At 34.7% G+C, this 15,572-nt stretch overlaps 1 protein-coding gene across 11 annotated transcripts in view; it reads right to left on the bottom strand.

Annotated features, from left to right (window-relative positions):
- METTL15 (methyltransferase 15, mitochondrial 12S rRNA N4-cytidine) overlaps nt 1-15,572 on the bottom strand; it is a 424,088-nt gene that overhangs the window by 293,873 nt on the left and 114,643 nt on the right. The window contains exons 2-3 of one of the 11 annotated variants that reach the window (XM_047426517.1): nt 10,449-10,608; nt 9,672-9,732 (exon numbers count right to left, since the gene is read on the bottom strand). The exons of 9 other annotated variants lie outside the window; for them this stretch is intronic. The gene's annotated coding sequence lies outside the window, so the exon portion shown is untranslated. The remainder of the gene's footprint in view (nt 1-9,671; nt 9,733-10,448; nt 10,609-15,572) is intronic. One more of the 11 variants, XM_047426518.1, reaches the window with a different exon arrangement.

Raw genomic sequence — 15,572 nt, 5'->3', positions numbered from 1 at the left:
GCACCCTGTGCCAGCCAAAGCAGGGCGAGGCACTGCCTCACTCGGGAAGTGCAAGGGGTCAGGGAGTTCCCTTTCCTGGTCAAGGAAAGGGGTGACAGATGGCACCTGGAAAATCGGGGCATTCCCACCCGAATACTGCGCTTTTCCGACGGGCTTAGGAAACGGCGCACCAGGAGATTATAACCCACACCTGGCTCAGAGGGTCCTAAGCCCACGGAGTCTCGCTGATTGCTAGCACGGCAGTCTGAGATCAAACTGCAAGGCGGCAGCCAGGCTGGGGGAGGGGCGCCCACCATTGCCCAGGCTCCCTTAGGTAAACAAAGCAGCCGGGAAGCTCGCACTGGGTGGAGCCCACCACAGCTCAAGGAGGCCTGCCTGCCTCTGTAGGCTCCACCTCTGGGGGCAGGGCACAGACAAACAAAAAGACAGCAGTAACCTCTGCAGATTTAAATGTCCCTGTCTGACAGCTTTGAAGAGAGCAGTGGTTCTCCCAGCACACAGCTAGAGATTTGAGAACGGGCAGACTGCCTCCTCAAGTGGGTCCCTGACCCCTGACCCCCGAGCAGCCTAACTGGGAGGCACCCTCCAGCAGGGGCAGACTGACACCTCATACGGCCGGGTACTCCTCTGAGAAAAAACTTCCAGAGGAATGATCAGACAGCAGCATTTGCGGATCACGAAAATCCGCGGTTCTGCAGCCACCGCTGCTGATACCCAGGCAAACAGGGTCTGGAGTGGACCTCTAGCAAACTCCAACAGACCTGCAGCTGAGGGTCCTGTCTGTTAGAAGGGAAACTAACAAACAGAAAGGACATCCACACCAAAAACCCATCTGTACATCACCATCATCAAAGACCAAAAGTAGATAAAACCACCAAAGATGGGGAAAAAACAGAGCAGAAAAAGTGGAAACTCTAAAAAACAGAGCGCCTCTCCTCCTCCAAAGGAACGCAGTTCCTCACCAGCAACGGAACAAAGCTGGACGGAGAATGACTTTGACGAGTTGAGAGAAGAAGGCTTCAGACGATCAAACTATTCCGAGCTACAAGAGGAAATTCAAACCAAAGGCAAAGGAGCTGAAAACGTTGAAAAAAATTTAGACGAATGTATAACTAGAATAACCAATACAGAGAAGTGCTTAAAGGAGCTGATGGAGCTGAAAGCCAAGGCTCGAGAACTACGTGAAGAATGCAGAAGCCTCAAGAGCCAATGCGATCAATTGGAAGAAAGGGTATCAGTGATGGAAGATGAAATGAATGAAATGAAGCGAGAAGGGAAGTTTAGAGAAAAAAGAATAAAAAGAAACAAACAAAGCCTCCAAGAAATATGGGACTATGTGAAAAGACCAAATCTGCATCTGATTGGTGTACCTGAAAGTGATGGGGAGAATGGAACCAAGTTGGAAAACACTCTGCAGGATATTATCCAGGAGAACTTCCCCAAACTAGCAAGGCAGGCCAACATTCAGATTCAGGAAATACAGAGAATGCCACAAAGATACTCCTCGAGAAGAGCAACTCCAAGACACATAATTATCAGATTCACCAAAGTTGAAATGAAGGAAAAAATTATAAGGGCAGCCACAGAGAAAGATCGGGTTACCCACAAAGGGAAACCCATCAGACTAACAGCTGATCTCTCAGCAGAAACTCTACAAGCTAGAATAGAGTGGGGGCCAATATTCAACATTCTTAAAGAAAAGAATTTTCAACCCAGAATTTCATATCCAGCCAAACGAAGCTTCATAATTGAAGGAGAAATAAAATACTATACAGACAAGCAAATGCTGAGAGATTTTGTCAACACCAGGCCTGCCCTAAAAGAGCTCCTGAAGGAAGCACTAAACATGGAAAGGCACAACTGGTACCAGCCACTACAAAATCATGCCAAAATGTAAAGAACATCGAGATTAGGAAGAAACTGCATCAACTAATGAGCAAAATAACCAGCTAACATCATAATGGCAGGATCAAATTCACACATAACAATATTAACTTTAAATGTAAATGGACTAAATGCTCCAATTATGAGACAGAGACTGGCAAATTCCTCGACACATACACTCTCCCAAGACTAAACCAGGAAGAAGTTGAATCTCTGAATAGACCAATAACAGAATCTGAAATTGTGGCAATAAACAATAGCTTACCAACCAAAAAGAGTCCAGGACCAGATGGATTCATAGCCGAATTCTACCAGAGGTACAAGGAGGAACTGGTACCATTCCTTCTGAAACTATTCCAATCAATAGAAAAAGAGGGAATCCTCCCTAACTCATTTTATGAGGCCAGCATCATCCTGACACCAAAGCCAGGCAGAGACACAACCAAAAAAGAGAATTTTAGACCAATATCCTTGATGAACATTGATGCAAAAATCCTCAATAAAATACTGGCAAACCGAATACAGCAGCACATCAAAAAGCTTATCCACCATGATCAAGTGGGCTTCATCCCTGGGATGCAAGGCTGGTTCAATATACGCAAATCAATAAATGTAATCCAGCATATACACAGAACCAAAGACAAAAACCACATGATTATCTCAATACATGCAGAAAAGGCCTTTGACAAAATTCAACAACCCTTCATGCTAAAAACTCTCAATAAATTAGGTATTGATGGGACGTATCTCAAAATAATAAGAGCTATCTATGACAAACCCACAGCCAATATCATACTGAATGGGCAAAAACTGGAAGCATTCCCTTTGAAAACTGGCACAAGACACGGATGCCCTCTCTCACCACTCCTATTCAACATAGTGTGGGAAGTTCTGGCCAGGGCAATGAGGCAGGAGAAGGAAATAAAGGGTATTCAATTGGGAAAACAGGAAGTCAAATTGTCCCTGTTTGCAGATGACATGATTGTATATCTAGAAAACCCCATTGTCTCAGCCCAAAATCTCCTTAAGCTGATAAGCAACTTCAGCAAAGTCTCAGGATACAAAATCAATGTACAAAAATCACAAGCATTCTTACACACTAATAACAGACAAACAGAGAGCCAAATCATGAGTGAACTCCCAATCACAATTGCTTCAAAGAGAATAAAATACTTAGGAATCCAACTTACAAGGGACGTGAAGGACCTCTTCAAGGGGAACTACAAACCACTGCTCAAGGAAATAAAAGAGGATACAAACAAATGGAAGAGCATTCCATGCTCATGGGTAGGAAGAATCAATATCGTGAAAATGGCCATACTGCCCAAGGTAATTTATAGATTCAATGCCATCCCCATCAAGCTACCAATGACTTTCTTCACAGAATTGGAAAAAACTACTTTAAAGTGCATATGGAATCAAAAAAGAGCCCGCATCGCCAAGTCAATCCTAAGCCACAAGAACAAAGCTGGAGGCATCACGCTACCTGACTTCAAACTATACTACAAGGCTACAGTAACCAAAACAGCATGGTACTGGTACCAAAACAGAGATATAGATCAATGGAACAGAACAGACCCCTCAGAAATAACGCCTCATATCTACAACTATCTGATATTTGACAAACCTGACAAAAACAAGAAATGGAGAAAGGAGTCCCTATTTAATAAATGGTGCTGGGAAAACTGGCTAGCCACATGTAGAAAGCTGAAACTGGATCCCTTCCTTACATCTTATACAAAAATTAATTCAAGATGGATTAAAGATTTAAACGTTAGACCTAAAACCATAAAAACCCTAGAAGAAAACCTAGGCATTACCATTCAGGACATAGGCATGGGCAAGGACTTCATGTCTAAAACACCAAAAGCAATGGCAACAAAAGCCAAAATTGACAAATGGGATCTAATTAAACTAAAGAGCTTCTGCACAGCAAAAGAAACTACCATCAGAGTGAACAGGCAACCTACAAAATGGGAGAAAATTTTTGCAACCTACTCATCTGACAAAGGGCTAATATCCAGAATCTACAATGAACTCAAACAAATTTACAAGAAAAAAACAAACAACCCCATCAAAAAGTGGGTGAAGGACATGAACAGACACTTCTCAAAAGAAGACATTTATGCAGCCAAAAGACACATGAAAAAATGCTCATCATCACTGGCCATCAGAAAAATGCAAATCAAAACCACAATGAGATACCATCTCACACCAGTTAGAATGGCAATCATTAAAAAGTCAGGAAACAACAGGTGCTGGAGAGGATGTGGAGAAATAGGAACACTTTTACACTGTTGGTGGGACTGTAAACTAGTTCAACCATTTTGGAAGTCAGTGTGGCGATTCCTCAGGGATCTAGAACTAGAAATACCATTTGAGCCAGCCATCCCATTACTGGGTATATACCCAAAGGACTATAAATCATGCTGCTATAAAGACACATGCACATGTATGTTTATTGCAGCACTATTCACAATAGCAAAGACCTGGAACCAACCCAAATGTCCAACAATGATAGAGTGGATTAAGAAAATGTGGCACATATACACCATGGAATACTACGCTGCCATTAAAAATGATGAGTTCATGTCCTTTGTAGGGACATGCATGAAATTGGAAATTATCATTCTCAGTAAACTATCGCAAGGACAAAAAACCAAACACCATATATTCTCACTCATAGGTGGGAACTGAACAATGAGAACACATGGACACAGTAAGGGGAACATCACACTCTGGGGACTGTTGTGGGGTAGGGGGAGGGGGGAGGGATAGCATTAGGAGATATACCTAATGCTAAATGACGAGTTAATGGGTGCAGCACACCAGCATGGCACATGTATACATATGTAACTAACCTGCACATTGTGCACATGTACCCTAAAACTTAAAGTATAATAATAATAAAAAAAAAGAAAGAATGGAGTCAGAGGAATTCAAAACAGTGAATATAGACAACTGATGGCATAACTACAAAGGAGAAGTATTCCTCACCACTCATGTATTTATACTTGGATGTTAGCTGAGTGACTGACTCCAAATTAATAAAAGCAGGAGAAACAACTGTTATGGTAACAATAATTAGCATTTATTTCAATAATTATTATTTTATCACTTATACCTCACTCACCATAAGGAAGATGAGGTGACTGAGGCTTGGAGTAACTTGCCCAACAATAGAGAGTTAAGAGGGAAAACTGAATGCAGTGTTGTATTCCAGAGGGACTTTTATCCTTTAAGTTAAAAAAAAAATTAGCCACAGTCTATATATGAGTATTTAGATGTTACATAAGGAAAACAAAAAAAGCTAATGGTTTACATAAACAAAAAAATGTAATCATTTATACAAGAAAATTACTTTAAACATGTATTTTCATATTCTGTCTTATAACTATCCTGATTACTTCCAAAGGATTCTACTAGGATTACTACACAAAGCTTTAGTCTTCTTTTAATTATTATCTATGTTATTAAGCAGTATATTATGTCCTAACAATTGAGTACAAAGGAGAATTCTTGATTTATAGTGCACTCTATTTTTGGCATTTATAGTCACTGCATTTAAGAATACAAATGTACATTTTAAGCCACTCAAAATAAAACTATATTCATGAAATTAGATGTGATTCCTTAATGTGATAAGATTGTTAAGGGCATAATTTAAAAAAAATAAAGGCTAATTTTGTTGTCCGCTTCAATTCCTTGCATACAGGTAGATAACTTTTTGAAATTCCAAGCTTAGACTAGTCCTTATTCTATCTTTCTTCATGATGTGTATGCTGCTATATTAATAAGAGAAAAAAAATGGGTCAAGCCCTGTTAGATATTCAGAGTGTGGGTGGAAATCCTTTGACGAGCTTTCTGGGGATGCCTATAACATGGGAGTAGCTGTTGAGATTCCAGGAGAAAAAGATAAAATTCTGTCAGCAGCAATATCTCTTACAAATAAACCCTTTCACGCCCACTAAAACGGAGGTTAGAAAGGTGCCTGAAATCTAGCAATTAACCAGTATCATTGCAAAATTTTAGTATAGAGAATCCTATGCTGGGCCTACACATTGCACACAATATGTTCCTTTTAATATACTTGCTGATATGAAAAATGCTAGAAGACACAAAATAAATAAACGTGTTCATATAAAAAGTACTTTTTAAATTATTGCATGAATTATAATATCTTTAATTATTATTTAATAACTTACTATTATATAGTATACTTTTTCTTTCAAAGAAAAAATTTTTATGCATAGGAGTTCGCATGCCAAACATGAATTTTTTAGATTCAGTGAACACAGACTAGCATTATTCAAAAATAAAGTTTATTTATAATATAGAGTATCTAAGCATCTTTTTCTAGTGATAATATATATAATTCCCATATAGATTCCCTTGGCACAGGACTGCAAGTGGAAATAGTAGTGAAAACTATTTTCTCCATAGTAAAAGCTAGTAATAAGGATTTTGAGCCCACTGGAAGATAGGATATGGTATATCTAATCAGGGTTTATCACTTAACATTTTTACATAAATATTTACTGAGGAAGTGAATCTGCAGTTTACTCCACAATTCTCTCTAGAACTTAGATCTAGACTTATAACATATTTTAAAGAGTAGTCTGGATATTTTTAAAGGTTCTATTTACATTGTAAAATGCAAATTAAGATGAACTCAGCCCATTATATCTAATTTCTATTTTATACATTTGATATAGAAAATGAAAAAATCATCATCCATTCATTTATTCATCTAGCCATCCATCCATATGATATTGAGTATGTACTATATGCCAGGGTTTGAAAAGTATAAAGTCTGTTAAGATACAGCAATACTTCAAGGAGCATATAATATATGGAAGTAAACCAAGAGAATGATGAAAAGCTTGGATAAAGGTAGCACAAGGTGTGCTGAGGAACAGAAGAGAAAAATTTAAATCAAATTGGAAGTATCTGGATGATTTTGCAGAGAAAATAGTGCTAAGTCTTGAAACATAAGTGGGATGAATAACGCTACGTAAATAAACAGCACATAGACATGAAGAGAGGTATGACACAACATTGTGAGCTAATGTGAAAGTAGTTTAGATTTCAAGGAGGGTATGAAAAAACTGTTGTAAAATTGTAAGAGATGAATCTAGAGAAAAGAAAGGCCATATCCTCAATGGCCTCCTGTGGTAAGCAGAAAAGTTTAACTTTATTATGAAAGTAATGGTGTACCATTGAAAACTGTAAGAATTTTACCATAAGAAAAAAAGCCTGTTTTATAGAAGTATTCCTTAAATAGCTAACTTAACTTGATCAATGATATCTTAATCAGCGATATCTTATTATTTTATTTGTCCTATGAAAGGTCCATAATGTGTCCTATGTAATGAGTACTCTTCCTTCTTGTAATTATTTGTTGTAATGGTATTTTATTTAAATAACATAGTTATTCCATGCTATTTAAAGCATACTGCCTTGGTATTTAATGTTTTTGGGTCCTGACACTTATCTTAAATAAATACTTCTTAATTATCTGTCTTTCCTGATAAAGTAAGAAGGCATTATGTTGACCTTTTTATCCAGCTGTAATACCAGAATATGATTTAATATCTGCCCCAAAACAGTGTCTGGAATTGAATTAAATGAGTAACAATGCTAACAGAGAAAATAAGAATGTATATTCCTCAAATAATTTAAGTTTGAATTTAGAATATGTTTGGTATTTTCCCTGCCAGGAGATTTACTTACCTGATCTCATAGAGGTTTACTTGTCTATCTATTAGACAATGAGCTTTATCTTGTGGTACAGAGGCCTTATCTTGAGCTTCTGAGCATTCCCCATGCCAAGTCTATTTCCCCATACACAGCAGGCACTAAAATGTACATTGAATTGTGCATTAAATTTAGATTGCATTCTCTCAGGAAAAAAGGAATAAAATACTAAAGTAGATAATCCAATCCAGCAGCTGTTTGTCTCAGTTTTACTTTAAATATCAGGCAAAAATGGGGGGTGTCGAGAACAGGAGGATTATACATGTAATTATAGCAAACTCATTTGACTTAATTAGTTGACGATTTAGAGAAAATACAACTATTGTTTTCACTCTTTTAATAACTCAGAAGCCCAAACATGAAGGGTTCTACTAAAATTTTCTCATATGTAATAAAATATGTCTCTAAATATGTATTATTTACCCAAGATAAAATGAAGTCTTTCTAGGTATAGTCATTCTTGTACTGAACAAGCTGCTATTCTTATCCTGTACCATATGGATATGTTCAAATGACGTAGGCAATAAAAATGGATTATCTCAAGTTTGTGAAGAGGTAATTCATTTTCTCAGTTATCATAATATAAATATCATTTGCATTTCAAATATACACGTTGACTTTCATGAATCAGTTTTGAAACTTTTAAGCCAAATATTCTAAGAATAAATATATAATAGTACTTAGGAATGGATGCAGAGGTGTTAATTATAATATATAGGTCTATACTTATATTTGTATTTGTCAAAAGAGAAAAAAAGAGTTTATTTAAAATAAACACAGATTCTGTCTCCTCATGTCAGTAATGAGCTAAATAAATAATCAACAATGAATGTAAATGTAAAGGTAATGAAGGTGACTCAAGATTTTAGCCTTGCAGAATTTTCAGGCTTCAGAACAAGAAATGGCTAAAAATTAAACCTTGTACCTTCTTTACTGAGAAAAAAGTAGCTTCCAGAAAGCCAGCAGCATATGAATATAGAAGGAGAGGGTCAAAGAATAGAAGACAGATAAGAAAGAACTTCTGATTTGTTGATGACATTTGTATGATATTAGTTATTTTTATCTAAAGCCAAGAAGTGATGGAAAAATCACAATCAATAAAAAGTAAGTCTGGGGTTAAAAGAAGACACTAATACAGCTCAGTGCAGCAGTGTCTGTAATTGTGACACGCTGTCTCAGTCCATTTAGGGTGCTACAACAAAACATCTTAGACTGGGTAATTTATTGAAACGGAAATTTATTTCTCATAGTTCTAGAGGCTGGGAAGTCCAAGATCAAAATGCCAGCAGATTCAGTGTCTGGTGAAGGCATGTTCTCTGCTTAAAAGGGAGCCTCTTGCTGTGTCCTCACATGGCAGAAGGACAAAGCAACTCCCTGCAATCTTTTATAAGAGCATTAATTCCATTTGTGAGGGTAGAACACTCATAACTTAATCACTTCCCCAAAGGTCTCATTTCTTAATACTATTAGGTTTCAACACAGGAATTTAGGGGAGACACCAATATTCAGAGCATTGCACAGGTATAGCCTTCAGTATTTACACTGACAAGGGGAGAAAGTCTATAACAAAAGGCAGATGCCAGAGCACTTTGCAAGGTGAGGGAAGTTGAATGCAGTGTCCCAGGCCTCAAATCTTAAACAGTTCTATCTGTGCATATTAAGGAACCAAGCAGGTAAAGACAGGAAATAACTGCCAATCATCATCTTGGTGTATGCCAATGAAAGTTTCCAAAATCTTAGCATAATGACAATAATAATTAATATAACTATGTATTATCTTACATGATAATTCTAAAAGCAATTATAACTAACATTTATTAAACAATGTTATGATAAACAAATTGCATAAACTTATTTAATATTCATAACATCCCATGAGGTAGGTATTAACAGTACCTCATTTTAAAGGTATAAAAATACAGACATAGAAAGATTAAGTCATTGACCTAAAAATCTCATAGCTAGAAAGAGGCAGAACTAAGACTCTAAATCAAGACTGTTTGATTCTAAAATCTAAACTACTTTCTCACCTGTGGGGATGGACATTTGAAATAAGCCAGATCCAGATGAGTTCAAAGAGGGAGGAACCAGCTAGAAATAAAGAAGTTTCAGATACCTTGTAAGTCTGCAAAGTTTTTGGCAAAAAATTAAAAATTTAAAAATAACATATCCAAGCAGGGATATGACATGTTAGACATAGTTTTTGTCTTCAATGAATATTTAATATACAACATGAACAATATATGTGGAATGTAGTCAAATAGCATGGTGGTTTTCAAAAAATTTTGATCAAGACACTTCATCAACAATAAGGTTTAACTGCAGTCACATATACACAGAAACTTACAATACATATATATGTATATGTATATATGTATACATAAAATTCTTTCATTAGAAACAATACTTAATTTAACTTCATATGCTGTACTATGATATTCTTATTCCATTCCATTAAACTCTGATCAGGACCCAACAAAATGATTTCATGACTCATTAAAAAGATATGCTAGACAGTGTTCTAAGCCTAATCCTATCATTTCTAGGAAGTATGTAATGTTATTATTTCCATTTTTAAAGATGAGAAAACTGAGTAGCAGAGTGGTTAAGTAACCTATTCAAAGTTTTATAGTGAGTAAATAGCAGAGCTGAAGTTAAAAGAAAAAGCTCAGCAGTCTGGTTCCAGAGTTATATGGAAAAGAAGGAAAAGAGCAGTCAGATACTAAAGCAGATAAGCCTTGAGGTAGACATGAAAAAGCCTTACTGATTACACACAAGGGAGGAGATTCTGAGAAAAAGGTAATTACCGAAAGTCTTCTGTGAGAATAAAAATATACTGCTGGACTTGAGAACACGGTAAGACTGAACTTATTCCTTGTCTCCTTCCTTATACTGGCTAAGTCAGAAGAATGGGAATTCTTGAGGGTCTTACAAAATTTAGTGTCACAATATTAACTTCAGTTTCACCTATAAACACAAAACATACTTTTATCTTGGAATAAATTGTTTTAATTATTTAGAATATCATTAAAACGGGAAGCCAGAGATCATTAAAGCAAAGTAGAATTTCTAATAGAATGATCAGGAAACAAAAATCTAGGCCCAACTATCCTCAGCTTTCAGATACAGCAGCAATTCCTAGCCTTCTAATTGATCTCACTGAATCCTTTCCAATTTTGCCCTCCTCCTACTCATTCTTCACAGAAACAAGAAGACTATTCTTTTAAAAGTGCAAATATGATCATGTCAGTTCCCTGTTTCAAAAACTTTGGTGCTTTCCCTTTGTTCTTAAGGTGAAGTCCAAAATCCCTAACAAGTTCCTGTATAGCCTAGCCCTAACTTACCACTCTGTCATTCCTCTCCCTTTCTATCATCCATTCACATTACAGTTCTTTCAATATGCCATTCTCATTTCTGCCAAAGATCTTCGAATATTCTCTTTTCAACACTTCAATTCTCTCTCTTGCCAGAATAGCCCTCCCTCCTTCACCCAGCTAACTATCATTGATCTTTCATGTTCTAAATTGAATTCAAATACTCTGGAAGTCTTCCTAGATGTTCTAAACTAGATTAGATCCTGATATCATATTCCTGAGATCATACGCTACTCATTCATAGCCATGATCACAATTTTAATTAAATAATTAGTTGTAAAATTATCTGTTTTCTGTCTAATTTCTGCTTACATTGTAAACTCTATGAAGTCACAGACTATAGGTCTTAATCCCTCTGGAACCGTCAAAACTAGTAGATTGCCTGAAAAGTAGTTGGTATAATACATGTTTATGGAATAAACATATATTCCTCAAGCCTCGGAACTATGTTTGGTAGACTAGAGTCAAGTTTTACCTCCTCAAAAAAACAGCTTCAGCTTACAAGGCTAACATCTCCTGAGCGAAGGTTATATTTAATAATATTAAATGGGGCAAAATACAATATCCTATTTTCGTAATGTTTTTGTTACCAAAAACAATGAACAGGTAACAGATCATCATCAATAGTTCAAAATGGTTTAGATAATTTTTCCAAGTTGTCTTTTTTCATGCTTGTTTATATTTGTGACAATTCTTTCACTTTGACAGTGTATGACAGAACTGACCTCCCATGGTTAGTAAGATTAGTAACAACTGTGTCTCATATCTAATCCTAAAAGTCTAAATTTTAGGTAGATAGGGCTGTTTAAGAGCATGTATTCTTTTATAAGATTTTTACACTGGCCTTAGGGTCAAAATGCTTGGGTTTCAGTCTTGACTCTGTTCAACAATGTGACTAAATTGCTTCTTGAATAATATTGTAGTGGTGTAGAAGGAATACAAGCAGCAAACCTGACGCTATGAGTTCGAGACTTGCCATTGCTCTGGCTTCCTGTGTAAATTTGGCCAAAAATTAAAAATGGCAGCTTAAAATAAAGAGAAGGAAAATGATAAACTTCAAGTGCTAGAAAATAAGTCTACACAACTTAGATCATGTGGGTAGTTCAGAATATATTATATCATATGAAAAAATATTTTTGTAACTCTCTAATTATATTACTATGTTAGCTGGCTTCCCTCTTTTTGCTCCACAGTAATATAATTTGTTTGTTTAATCTTTTCTGAAAACAAACAAAACAATGGAAGTTCAAATTGTATAAATCACTAAAAATAGTCCCCAAGGATATGGCAGAATACAGAAAACCTACCCCTTCTTACCAAATGTAAATCTGAACCCTGATTCAAGGCAGTGGAGTGAGTTAGGAAAAAGGTTAAGAATGTTCCACTCACACCCACTGCCTCAGAGACACAAGACAGCACCAGAAGGAACCTATTGCTTGATGTATATACTCTGTTCACAAATAAAATATAGAAATGAAATGGTAAGAGAAGAAGAAATAAAAAGGATTTGGCAGAAAGGAGAAAGTCAACAAATTAAATAAGAAAATATTATATAAGAAAAGATAACTTCTAATTAGCTGAATTAAAACTTGAACAATATTGACAATAAAAACCATAAACAACACTGTAGAAAATAAAATCCTTAACCCAGAGAATAATCTCAAAGAGATTTTGCAGAATACTGCAGTAAAGTGAAAATAGCTGAAAACACTAACAGATTAAATCAAAGACATGCAGGACAGATAATACACATCTAACCAACAAATAATGAGGGCTCATAGGGTAGAAAATAGAAATAAGGGTAGAGAGGTTACTAAAACAAAAAGTCATCTTTGTAGATGAAAGACCTGATCCACAGGACAAAAATTGTTCATGGAGTATACAGAAAATTAACTAAAAGTGACCAACCAGTAATATTTTTTAGTACAATTTATAAATATCAAACGTTTTCAAAGAACTGTATCGAATAAGCATCCAGCCAGGGGGTGAAAAGAACAAGTGAGAAATAGATTTCCAAGAAACAGAAATAAAAAAGAAAAAAAAAAACTGGGTTGACCTCAGACTTCTCCACAATACTACAACCAGAAGAAAATGAGTGATATCTATAAAATTCCCCGAATTCTATACTCTATCAAGTTATTGCAAATGTAAGAAGGCATGAGAAACACTGTTTTCTCAGGTAAACAAAACCTCAGATGTATCCTTTCTGCATATTTATCTTAAAGATAAACTACTTAAAGACGTAATCAATTGACTGAGACATGAACCCACATAAGGAACGCAAAATGGAATTGAAAATATTATAAAAAGGCTAGTAGGCCCATTGAAATAAATTAAAATGGCCAAACTATAAAGTATTATTTTAGATAATACAGCCAAAACTGTAAATGCTAATAGTTATCATAAGAGTAGACACTAATATCTAAATCCCAAGATAGAATTTAAAGAGCCAAGAAGTAAGATAGCAGAAGAAAAAATACAAATAAAGGAGTATTACTTTATCACCTTACATGATGGTGGTTAATCAATAAATATTATTTTAAAAACATACTTAAAAAAGTGTTTAAATACTTTTTATCTTAAAAAATACTAAAGTCAGTGATGAATAAATTAAAAAAATAAAAGTGATTAGTGTCACTAAATCACTAGTGAAGACGCAAAATCAAATAGTGAAGAGGCAAAATCAAATATATATAATGGACATAAGAAATTATAAAAGTTCAATAAAACACAAAAATTAAAAATACAGAAAAAGATAACACCAATGTATCCGGATATAATTACCCTTTTATAGAAAACACACTCAGATTTGTTTATGCAAAACGCATCAGATATTCGCTATTTATTAAATCATCAACAATATGAATATAGATAAGAGTATATAAGAATTAGGGTTCTAATAAATTGTTATAATTATACGATAAAAATACCCTACAACCAATAAAATCGTGTGTTTTAAAACAATCTAATGAAAGAGGAATGTGCTGATAATATATAAGTAGAATCCACTTAGGAAAATATACATCCATGTATCATATATGAACATATATGCATAGATAACCAAAGTAATTAGAAGGAAATATTCCAACCTGTTTACGTTGGTGTTAGTTCTATGAATTATTTTAATTTTTTCTCAGTACTTTCCTGCATTTTTTAATTTTAATTAAGAAAAAATTTCACTAAGAAACACAAAATACCAGAATAAGTGGAAAGATATATCAGGCTTCTGGATTGGGATACAGAATAAAGATGTCAATTCTTTAAAATGCAGTTATGCATTTAATACAATTAACCAAAATGGATTTTAAACTTTGCCATGATATTCTAACATTTTAGAAGTACAAAAAGTGAAAGTGTCCAAAAAAAAATTCAAACAGGAAAGAGTATACATAATGAAACACTGACAATTAGAAAGATGAAATGAAAAACGTAAAATCACTAACCCCGATTACCTAAAGTGGTAAAATTATGGGTGAGTTTATACTTTCATATTATAAATTTACCCCAGTATGCATATCTTCTTTTATAAAATGTTGAAAATAACAGTTTATTATATTTTTAGAAACAAAATTATAGTAAAATGATGGAATGATTTTTATTTTCTTTATACATACCTATATTCTCTAAACTTAGTATACATAGTATGTATTATTCCAAAATTCAGAAGATAAAAAACTTTGATTTTTAAAATTGTCTTCCAATATCCATCTTCCACTACGTTAAAAAGTCAACCAACACCTCATTGCTGCAAGTTAAATGTGTTTCCTCTTATACAGTCTTCAGAGGCAACAGCAAAAAGTTTCAGTCTTCAAACAACAGGTGATCTGACATGTCATCTTTTCTGAAAGAGCTAAAATGGGTTAGCCTAAAACTCAGCCTTCCCATGAATTGCTCAGTTTTCTGTAAAAATGTTAGTTTCTATTTCTGACTTAGTTTTGACAGAGTAAAGGACATGGGATTTTTTAAGAGAAACTTAACTCCTCTTTTAGAATAACAGCAAAATAAATAAAAGAAAAAAATTACTATGTTTCTTCAAAAGGTGTTTACTCTAAAATGACAAACTGTTTCATTCTGTGCCCTACTACAGGTTGCAATTACATAAATATTTTTAAGAAGATATGTAATCTATCTATGCATCCTTTCAACCAACTATCCATTGATCGATCCATTATTGCCACAAATACTCCCAAACACAAATTTGTGTTTTTCTTTCTCATGCATACTTCATTTTATTACTACATATGTGGATATTAATAAATTATATATAACTCTGAATTTTCTATTTTGCATAAATATGCAGAGATGTAAACATAAAATCTCTGGGTTTTTCTTAGTCATTGTTTTATCTTTCCCTGAACCTCCCTCCATTGTTAATCCTGTCTTTTTCAAGTTTTCCATGATTATATATACACAAGCGATGTATATATAAAGTTTGTAGGAAATGTAAAAACATGTTTCCTTAGATATTCTTTTACTTAGATGGAAAAGATTCTAAGAAGATTATGTGTTTTATATTAAAAGATGTCCACCCAAAATAGATGAAAGTATCCTTTTCTG

This window comes from Homo sapiens, chromosome 11, assembly GCF_000001405.40.
Source record: "Homo sapiens chromosome 11, GRCh38.p14 Primary Assembly".
Taxonomy (NCBI): Eukaryota; Metazoa; Chordata; class Mammalia; order Primates; family Hominidae; genus Homo; species Homo sapiens.
Note: the sequence above shows the minus strand (reverse complement) of the source record. Positions and strands in the feature narration are given on the sequence as shown.